This window comes from Homo sapiens, chromosome 6 (genome assembly GCF_000001405.40).
Source record: "Homo sapiens chromosome 6, GRCh38.p14 Primary Assembly".
Taxonomy (NCBI): domain Eukaryota; kingdom Metazoa; phylum Chordata; class Mammalia; order Primates; family Hominidae; genus Homo; species Homo sapiens.
In genome coordinates, this window is record NC_000006.12 from 121,669,628 (window position 1) to 121,681,627 (window position 12,000).

General features: G+C 35.2%; 1 pseudogene; it reads right to left on the bottom strand.

Annotated features, from left to right (window-relative positions):
* On the bottom strand, positions 10,274-10,851 carry RPL23AP48 (ribosomal protein L23a pseudogene 48; annotated as a pseudogene).

Sequence of the window (12,000 nt, forward strand, 5' to 3'; positions counted from 1 at the left end):
CTGCTTACTCTGCCATACTTGATTCGGGGGGTAGGCAGGAAACATAAGCTCCAGACCGGCACCAGCCAGGGAAGTCAGTTCATGTAGGCACCATGGGACTCTAAGTGAGTAGGAAGTATAGAATAATCACCCAATGCAGGACTAAATGGCTTCCTAGCAACATCACTGAGTCCCTACTGAGTAGTTACAAGAGGAAGAAGCAGCGCACAGAAAAGAGCAGTGCTCCGCACAGGTTGAGGGGAAAGAAAGGCGGGTTACAGAATGCAAAATCAGAGGCTCTTTTCCCTATGGTAGCCACCCTCGAACACACATGTACACTTTCATCAAGAGGAGGGTCAGCTAGGATCCAAGCCATCATCCCTCTCTTCAGGTACATACCACCAGCCAAGGAAGATGGCGATTCCAAAATATGAACACGCAGGAAAATACAGACATCTGAGGAGTGCAAATGCAAGCTCTATGAAAAAAAGATCCAACTATCCATGAGGAAGCAAAACTAATAAATCAAATTGAATAAGACTAAATAAGACTCAATGCTTCTTAAGATGCTTAAGATTAAAATACTCATAATAATATCTTTATCAAGGATAGAGAGAAGATTGAAAACATCAAGCAATTAAGAAGATCTAAGTAGAGATATTAAGCATGAAAAATCTAATGTTGAAATAAAGGATTTAGCTGGGCGTGGTGGCTCATGCCTCTAATCCCAGCATTTTGGGAGGCTGAGGTGGATGAATTACTTGAGGCCAGGCTGGACAACATAGTGAGACTCCATCCCTACTTAAAAAAAAAAAAAAAAGCTGGGAGTGGTACGTTCCTGTAGTCCCAGCTACTTGGGAGGCTGAGGAGGGAGGATCGCTTGAGCCCGAAAGGTCAAGGCTGCACTGAGCCGTGATTGCAGCACTGCACTCCAACCTGGGTGACGGTGAGACCCTGTTTCAAAAAGGAAAAAATAAAAATAAAATAAACAAATAAATAAAGGACTTAATATCTTAGGGAGGTTGAGAAAAGAAAGTATCAGAAATGATTTCAGCCAAAGTTTGCAAGTGACTCATTTGGTTAGTATTGAGAGTCCTATACAAACAGATTTTTCCTATTCAGTCATTTAATAGGGTTTAGATAACATATTTAAGAAATGTTCCTCAAACCTTTTTCTATGACTCATTTTTTAGTTAAAAAAAAGTTAATTCTATACAAAAGATATTTTTTGTAAGTAACAGAAATAGTACATAAATACATGCTCACTGTATAAACTTCAACACAGAAGTATGTAGAAGAAAAATAAAACTTTCTTCTCAACATCATTCTCAACACACAGTTTGCTTTTCCTTTTCTTTAACATAAATAGGACAACACCATGGTATTATTTTGCTTTTTCCATATAAAATATGTATTATTAATATATCTCTTATACATACATATTTCTGTGTATTTATAGCTCATCTTGTTTTAAATTAGTTTTTTCTTGTGTCTTTACAATTTTGAAAGTATTCATAATTATATGCTTATTATTAAAAAATCAAACAACACAAAAGTGTGTGTAGAGCAAAGTCAAAATCCCCTTTCATCTGTCTCTTTATCATTTTATTCATTTACACACACACACACATGAATATATGTATATGTGCATGCATGTATGTATATATTTTCACTGCTGTGAATTCGGGGACTGGAAAGATAGAAAAGTAAGCTTCCACAGCAGATAGGTGCAGTGGAAACATGTTGGTTTCCATTTCATGTTATTATATAAATTTAATCTCTTTTAGTTCGAATATAAACAGAATCAGACAATATCTATGACCCTGTAATTTACTTTTTGACTGAGTAATATTTCTTAGCAACATCTCAGGTAGGCATATGGAACTAACTTATATTACTGATGAATGAAAATTCTCAGGTTTACCACGCCAACAAAGATAGCATCTAGGTATTTTACCAGAGCTATGTGGGACTATATTAGCTTGATCCTTATTCTAAAGATAACCACTTGTTTGCTGGAAAATTTTTTTCTGAATAAACAGTAATAATACTGTGTCTGGAACAAATACTAGCAAACTGTATACAGTACCAGAGTATTCCTTTCCTTGGAGTTTATGGAATTTATTAATATTACATTCCATCCTCAGGCAACTGTTGACCTTTCTAAATATTGTAGTTCAAAAACTAGAAGGAAATGTGCTGGAATTTCAAGTAATTATTTGTTTAGAGAATTTTCTACCAAGGAAAATTAAAGAATATACTTATGGGAGTCTTACAAACACACACAAAAACACATAGTTATGACAACCATTTGATTTTAATAATCACTAAAATTCAGAAACGGTCTTCCCCTTTATTCCCATTATTTTTATTGAAATGATCTGGCTTTTCTGTTGTGTATGTCTCTGGTTTAGTTTAATAATTTAGTTAATTAATAATGACCTACTGGTTTGTTTTTCCAGAATTTTTACTATTATGGTCAGGAAGTTTTATAGAATCACTGGAAAAATCTGAAGATACAATGATATTTCAGTTTGGTTCTTCAAATATAGGTCTTTATTCTTCTTTTTAGTACTGAGCATTAAATAAGCCATAGTTTTTTACACTTAACAAATCTCATCCTATTAAAAAAATTCAAAAATTTTACAGAAAACTTTTTCAATTCCTATTTTTCAATTACTTAATATTTAAAGATATAACAACAAAGGGAAAAAAGAAGAAACAAAACTATAAAATGGAGCTGGGCACAGTGGCTCATGCCTGTAATCCCAGCACTTTGAGAGGCAGGGGCAGCCTGGGCAACGTGATGAGACCTCATCTCTACTAAAATTTAAAAAAAGGCACACACCTGTAGTCCTAGCTATCTGAGGGCCTGAGGTGAGAGTATGACTTGAGCCCAGGAAGTCAAGGCTGCAGTGAGCCCTAATCATGTCACTGCACTCCAGCCTAGGTGACAGAGGAAGGCCCTGTCACAAAAACAAACAAACAAACAAAAAACTATAAAATGTAAAGATAGGGAAATTAAGGGTTTCATGTGCAGTTCAGTGTGAATAATATCTAGTAAAGGACAGAAAATACTGCTACTAACACAAAAAATTAAGCAAAAGTTAAATTAATCCTATGTTTATGTTGCCTTTATTCAAAACAAAATAATTTTTCCTCCTCACTTTGCTCCAGTTGAATATTCCACTATAGTTACTTGTGTGTTGTCATTGCTGCAAAATCTGGGTCCTTATGGAGAGAGTCAATCTCTTATTCCTCTTTATCTCATCACAATGGGACACGCAGAGCACCTAGTACTCAACACATTATTAGTTGAGGTAATGAAGTAGAAAATTCATTTTTTTTCTTAGCATCATCTTCAGGCTGAGACAAGAAAATGAATATGATTTTATTTTGCAACATATTTCTCCTGGGTAGTAAAAGGATTTGTGGTTCTTCTAATCTTTTGTGCATATAATGCTCCAGTTGACATAAATTCATTTCCGTCCTGCCACTGGGGACACCAAATGTCTCTATTTTGGGATCTTAGGAAAAATAATACTGTTTACCTTTGACTCATTTATGTCAAGCATGTCCTTGTAATATTGTGTAGTTACAGGAATAAACTACAAAGACATCATCTTACATTTATATGAGGCTGTATGGTTTATAAAGCATTTTTACACATATTATTTTATTTCATGTTCATAACAGCCTCGTGATGTAGATAAAGCAGGGATTACTATTATCCTCTCTTTGATTTGGTTTCTTGTCTCTGAATGTCCTTACCTACATTTTCACTTTGTGTTATGTAAAGAACTAATGCCTTTAAACATCAAGTTAAATGGTCCAGATTGGGCAAATGATTTGTTTAAAATCTCACAGATGGACTTTACACAGCAGATTCCGAACCCCAAAGTACACACCTTTGACTCATAGTCCATTATTTAGTTCCCTATATCCTCAACCAATTTTCCCGCCTTCCTTCCCCTTGCTCCCTTCACATAGCCTAAATATGTGCATATTCTAGAGTAATTAATTAAAAAATTTCTTGTAATTTTCCTATATAGTTTTCTTCCAGCCTGTTAAACTATCTATAATTTTCCCTAGAAATCAAATTGTTTCTTTAAGTGATAGAAGCAATTCCATGTTAACACAGCAATAAACACTAATACAGCGTCTGTAATGCACTGAGCACTGTTCTGTGTACTTTAACCAATTTACTAATTTAATTCTCACCACAACCTAATAAGGCAGACACTGTTATTAGCCCCATTTTACAGGTGGGAACACTGCACAATCAGAAAGATGGAGTAATTTGCCCAAATTTATCCAATTATTGACAGAGCCAAGATTTAAACCCTGACAATGGGGTTCATAAGTGTGTGCTATTAGCCATTATACTATAATGCCTTTCTATGGTTATAGAAACTTGATTACATAAATTCCACATATTTACCCTATGCTAATGCAATGCTTAGGAGAAAAGCAATAGTGCACTTCCGTATACCTTTTATCAGGGCCTCTATCAACAGTGACTATGTTCCCCAGCACCGTGAACAGCATTATTGCTGTTCAGAAAAAAAATATGAAAAACTTCGAAATAATGTAAAAGGATGATTACATGACCTTTCAATGTCACACTGGAGCATTGTTTAATAGGGTCACCCAACAATTATTAAAATCTAGTACAATGACCCTTTCCTTGATATACCCTTTATTACTAATTAGAGCCCAAACTCTATGATATTATATGGTACCTTGTAAATATTATCTGGTAGAGAGGCAGATAATTTCTACCTGGTTGAAATTATAACCCCAAAGGATATGGTTTTATTGCCCTTTAGTTTATTAACGATGTTTGTCTCTAACCTATCAGTCTTTTTGTTCAATGCATATCATTACTTAGTTCCTCAAATGTTCTTTAAGCCAGCTTACCACCCTGTTCCCCTAATTCATGAGTTAAATACAACTTTGATATTTACTTATTCTTTATTTTCATGATATTCATGTTTTTTAATGTTTTTAAAAATTATTCCTGGAAGTCACCATGGTTTTTTTTCACTCAGCTTTTATGAGTTGATTATGAAGAAACATAGAAAAGCCTTTGATATACAAAATAAAATAGAAGCATATAATGTTATGAAATCAGTATGTCCTAGTTATTAATTACTGAAGGACAACTACTCACAAGTCAGAGTTCTGCAAAACCTAAATATGAAACTATTCAGCATTTTGCTGAGTATGAACAAAAGCATAAATAGTATCAGACTCTAATAAGAGGAAAGTGTGGGTGCTGGGAGACAAAAACAGTAGCAACCACACGGAGCCATCATTTCACCTTTCCTCCACAAGTTTAAAATGAAACATATATAACACATGGACACTTCAAGACAAAGAAGTGACTGCCCATTTATGAAATAGAGACGTAATCAATGTCTTTAAATGGTCACCAAATGAAGAGCAAAACCCAACTCTGGTGAGAACAAGATCATTTCTTATAGTACTTTTATTCTGTTTTTGGCTGTTGTCTTTCGTACTAACCAGAGAACATTTTTTGTAAGCAAGTTTCATGGCCCTTTACCCTGGTTTTAGAATGATTCAGACTCATATAGAAAAAATAAAACAAGATGCCAGGCACAGTGGCTCATGCCTGTACTTGCAACATTTTGAGAGGCCAAGGAGGGAGGATCGCTTGAGCCCAGAGTTCAAAACCAGCCTGGGCAGCATAGTGAGAACTCGTACAAAATCTAAAATTTTAGCAGAGCGTGGTGGTGCATGCCCATAGTCCCAGCTACTCAGGAGACTGAAGTAGGGGGACTGCTTGAGCCTGGGAGGTTGAGGCTGTAGTAAGCCTTGATCATGCCACTGCTCTCCCACCTGGGCAACAGAGCAAGACCCTGTCTCAAACTTAAAAAAAAAGAAAAAGAAAACTTCTTTAGTAATTAACATCAAACTTCCATTTCCCCCGAGATAGGAGGATTCCATGTTTATATTAACTAGTAAAGCCAGACTAGTAAAGCCAGGAGTGAGCCAAGCTTAAGATAACAGAAGAATGTTTCCTGTTAACTTAAAAGCTGATGCTAAAGAAAGCCAAAGAATAAATGAGTTAAAATTTAAGGCTCTTATATTGCCCAGAATGTAGAAAAAGATTAGATTACTTTTGACTTCTATAAATCAAGAAAATCATGAAAAGAGTAGTGAAGTGGTTAATGTTATATCAGAGGGAGAGACTAGGAATTGCTGAGAATGCAAACATAAGATTAATAAGTGTCCATACTTTGTTGCTATCCCTTTACCTGTTCATTAATTTTTAGCTATTATTTAGCATATAGAATATTATAAAGAAAATGTTCTGATATTTGGTAGCCCTATTTAGCAACAGTCACCTATCACCATCAAAACTACTGGTGACTAAAAAATTAGTATCTAATGCTGATAAAGTGAAACTCTAAAGTCAATGAATATTTTAAGTCCTTCTTGATAACAGGGTTCTATGACAAAACATTTGACTTTACAATAAGTCACCACATCTGGCTAATTTTTTTATTTTTGTAGAGACAGAGTTTCACCATGTTGCCCAGGCAGGTCTCAAACGCCTGGGCTCAAGCCATCCTCCTGCCTCGGCCTCCCAAATTGCTGGGATTACAGGTGTGAGCCACTGCACCTGGCCTCACTCTTTTTTACTTAAGCTGGTTTGTGCTGGAATTTCTGTCTCATGTAACAAAAAAATCCTAACTGGCATAGATCACATAGAGAGGATAAAAAAATTATTCTCTTTTCCCTCATCTAAAGCTCCGTATACATGTCCTACAGGTCATGTTGCCCAGAGGAAGGGCTCAGTTAAGAAAGAGGCAGAATACAGCCACGTTTTAGCTCATTTTTGAAAGTTTAACTGCCCCATTCAGCTCTCTCCCTTCACAAGCCTTACCTTTGATAGTTTCCTCTTCAACAAATAAACAACAAAGCCCTGCCTCTATTTTATAGATTGTGTGGCAAATGCTTGAAATTGCAGTGTAGTGTTGCTTTTCATTTTTTGGAACAATTTTCTGATTTTTTGTTAGCTTTTCTCTGTAGTTAATGCTTCCCCTTAAAGTTAGAGTGAACATTGATATTTTACCAGTTACTTTCATGTCTCATCTGTCTTCCTGCTCTTCTGACTAAATCCCACTTTATGTCTGACCAAGCCCATTGCTGTGATGGAGGGGAAAGGACTACTCTTCTCCATGTGAATGAGACCCATAGTGAAATGCACAAATGACAGAGTGGAACTTCCGTTTCTGGGAGGACCAATGAGTGTAAAAAAAGGAGGTATTCCTTGATACTTTTTTTCTTTTAAATGAAGATGGGTATGTTTAACTTGTGGAAGAGAACATGGATAGGTTTCAAAACAAGAGATTTGTTAGATTTACTATAGATTCACTGCAAAAGGTGACAAACTACCAACTGTAAAATCAGGCTTAAATCTTTGGTGATCAGAACATCATCTCAGGAAAAGTATGCTCTGAATGTGTGCTATTAAGCCCTCTCACAACACTGTGAAGATGAGAACTTGAAGGAATATAAGACAAATTGTAGTATATTGCTTCTAAATTTACTACACTCTTTCCTTCAAAGTTCCTTGAATCAACTTTAGAACTGTTTTTGATTTAGTGCCTGTGCCAAGAGGTAACATGGACCAATGTATTTTCCTTTTAATTAGGGAACACACATAATTTAGAGAAATAAAGGTGAATCTTAGAAACTCTGTTTAATGTTTTTTAGTTACAAACTTCCTTTTTATTAAAATTAGCTTGTAATAGAAAGAGAAGCTACTTGATAGTATAAATTAGTTGCCTTAAATTGATCTCCTTTTATTTTTTCATCAAGTTATAGAAGGAACTCAGTAAAAAAGCAGGAACTTTCTTAAATTTCCAAGGGTAGATACATTTGGAGGTATTATTGCAAAGGATCATGGGGAAAAGAGAAGGCGTATGGTAGTGCAGAGAGGAACTGTGATATGGGAAAACATAAAAGACAAAGAACAAGTGGAAAAGTCCCACTGTTTTTAGCCAGTTCCAACAAGAACTGATGAAATTTTCTCTGAAATACCCTATTCTGTTCCCCTGTACACAGACACACAATCCAGTGGTTTCCATTGAAACTGGAAGTTTCAGAACCATAGCTAATCTGCAATGTAAGCACATGGAATCAGAAAGGCTAATGGATTCCATAGTCATCAACCACCTTCCTGCTTTGGATCACAGACCAGGGAGGCATGGTTTGAACATGTGAAATAAATGTAGAGATTACATAATGCAGCTTTAAATTGTAGTTCATTTTAAACAGACCACGGTTAGTAAAATTTGTGTGTGTGTGTGTGTGTGTTTCTAAGGAGAATGTGGTTTGAAGAAGTATGATTTACGTGATCTGGGAAAATCCTTACAAATGAATTCCATCCCACCCTTTCAAGGAAATACTGTGATTGTGGCAGCTACCTGATTAAGCTGTATTCTATTACTAGTCTATGATCAGTATCACTTTGCTGCTTGTCTTATATACCGGCATAGTAAATAATAACAAGAAGCCATTAAAATAAGTATAGTTAAGTCTCGATCGGTCACACAAGAGGGTTTTTGGTTCTGTTGAATGGAAAGTATTGTTTCCCTAACACACTTTCAATAGCATTAATAAGACCCGCTTAACTAAATGACATATCTTATGTTCTGTGAGGAAATATCTTACCTCAAAGAACAGTCTAGAGTGTCAAGAAGGGATGCTAGAAGAACCTGGTTCTCATTTCTTAAATTTTCTCTTATGATACTTATCAGTGCTATGGGTATTCAGAGGAATGTCTTAGTAAAAAGGGTTGACAGCACTCCCAAGAAATCAGTGTAATAATGAGACAAAAGCATGAGTCAAATAGAGTTAGAGGCCACTGATGAATAAGTTTCAGAATACAGAGGGCTTCAAGTAGTAGAAAAAGTTTCTCTTTATCTTTTTAAAGCTACTGTATATACAAATTAAAACTAAGTCCTCTCTTCCTTGGTTTCAATGACCATAAAGCAAAAGAGCATATACCAGATTTGCCTTGGTTGCTACAACCAATTCACTGTTTCCAAAGATTTAGAATCTTCTGAAATACAATATTCCTAATTTTTCCAAAGATTTTCATATTATGTATTATTCTCCAGGAAATTTATCATATTGTATCAATTTCATAAAATACACCTCTTTCATAAGCACTAATTTCCACAGTGATGTAGGGAAAGATATAAGAAAATATGCTATTTTCTGGGCAGGCCCTGTGGCTCATGCTTGTAATTCCAGCACTTTGGAAGGTCGAGGCAGGTGGATCACCTGAGGTCAGGAGTTCAAGACCAGCCTGGCCAACATGGTGAAACCCTGTTTCTACTAAAAATACAAAAATTAGCCAGGCGTGGTGGCTAATGCACCTGTAGTCCCAGCTACTCAGGAGGCTGAGGCAGGAGAATCACTTGAACTCAGGAGGTGGAGTTTGCTAGTGAGCCAAGATTGTGCCACTGCACTGTAGCCTGGGCAACAGAGAGAGACTCTGTCCGCAAAAAAAAAAAAAAAAAGAAAAAAGAAAATATGCTATTTTTTAATATAAAAACATTGATCAATTTTCTGTATATGCATATATAAACCTATAGATGTATATAAATATTCAGTTCATAGTCTTTAGTTCAAGAACATACAGTCTGCTGTCCATATCTGTGGGTTCTGCACCCATGCATTCAAACAACTGTAGGCTGAAAATGTTTGGGAAAAAAATGGATGGTCACATAGACTTTCATGTCATTATTTTCTAAACAATACAGTATGACAACTATTTATATAGCATTTATATTGTGTTAGGTATCATAAGTAATCTAGAGATGATTTAAAGTATATAGAAGGATTGTATAGGTTATATGCATAAAGTACAACATTTTATATCAGGGACTTGAGCATCCATGGATTTTGATATTGGCAGGGATGTCCTGGAACCAATTCCCCGAAGATATGAAAGGATGACTATACTATATTTTAGAAAGTTCCTTGCAGTTCTTTCATTTTGAATTCAATATTTATTTTTAATAGATAAAATTTTATAGCCCATTTGACTCTCAATATTATTTAGTACAGAAAATCTTTTTAATCCAAGTGCCCATGAAAAGGAATATTTGTAATGCTTTTTTTATGGTGAAAAGTATATATATATGTATATATATATACACATATATATATACACATATATATGTGTATATATATGTATATATGTATACACATATATATATACACATATATATGTGTATATATATGTGTGTATACATATATACATATATATGTGTGTGTATATATATATATATATACACTTAGAACTAGCAAGCTAGACTCATTTTAAATTATCCCAATTTTGTTGGCAACTTCCAAAGCATTGATATCAGGAGCCAGTTGAACATATGCCTTCTTCAAATCAGGGTGTTGACCTTGGCCACATCAATGTCATAGAGCTTCTTCATAGCCTGTTTGATCCGGTGCTTGTTGGCTTTAACATCCACAATGAACACAAGTGTGTTGTTGTCTTCTGTCTTCTTCATGGCAGACTCAGCGGTCAGCAGAAACTTGATGATAGCATAGTGGTCAAGCTTGTTTCACCTGGGGGCGCTCTTCCAAGGATATTTGGGCTGCCTCCGGAGTCACAGTATCTTGGGCTGCCGGAAGGTGGGTGACATGAGGATCTTCTTTTTTTTTCTTTTTTTTTTTTCTTTTTTGTGGCTATGGACACCTTTCAACACTGCCTTCTTGGCCTTTAAAGCCTTCACTTTGGCTTCGGCTTTAGGAAGAACTAAAGCCGAAGGAAATTCCTTCTTCGCTTTCAGCGCCATCTTGTGATAAGGGTCCAATGCTTTTTTTTTTTTTTTTTAAATCTACGACTGCTTTTAAAAAAATGCATTCCTAGTTTCAACTCAAGATATAGGAACGTGTCTTTTTTTATTCTCTTACTCCTGGTCTTATCAACAGTTCAAGGGGTTGGGTGGGGTGGGAGTGGGACCAACATTGAAGATGAAGAAATTCCCACCTGTGTCTGTTTGCCATCTCTATTTGTATAACAAAAAGTAAATTGCTAGATAAGTGACTACTTAGGTACTCTAATTTGGAATGGTCTGGCATTTGGAACTGTATCACAGTATAGAAAGTTTTAAATTGGTAGCTCTCAGTCTTATTCATCTTTCTGTCTAGTTAATTCATTTTTTAAAACCTATATTGTTTGTGCTTAGATCGTGAGTCTTTCAAAGACATGCTAATTGCTTAATGTCTGAAGAAACTTCATCCCTCCGAGTAATTTCAATCTTCTTTTGACTATTAAGTTTCTGGTAGCAGGAAGGCTTAATTTGGCAAACCCTTGCATTTTAAAAGTTTAAAATGAGAGAACTAGAAGGCCACCAAATAACCATACTGAAATAGAAATAAGTTCTAATTCAAAAATTATTCTTTCCAGCCCCCAGGATGAAGGCAAATTGCAATTAGGCCTTGTAATGGAATAACTGCAAACATATTTTCTCCAAATCTCTAAGACAATAAATGATTTTTTTCCAACAAAATATTTTATCAATAAGCTTTCTAATACATATGTGATGTGTACCTTTATCAAATCATTGCTTAATAGAGTTTTACAGATCAGCTGAAAGTTTTTTAATCAATTTATTTTTTGATTTTCAAAGTATTTTTTTTCTTTAATTTTGCCTGGGAAATTGTTTAAATGAAGCAGTATCCCACAAACCGTAGTGGAACAAAACAAGTTGACATTTTAAATAAGGCAACTGGCTTTCATACTCCTGAAACTTCTTATGCTATGGTTTAATTTTGCTTTCTTGAAATTCTAGCTATCTTGGTTTTCACAATACAACATTTTTCTTGGTTCTCCTGCTTCCTCTCTGGTCTTCATCTTTTTTTGTTTGTTTGATCTCTTTTGTCCTCATCCTCTTCCTAATTTCTAAATGTAAGTCTCCCTTTCAGGGTTGGGTCTTTGTTTTCAGTCTTTCCCACTTTACT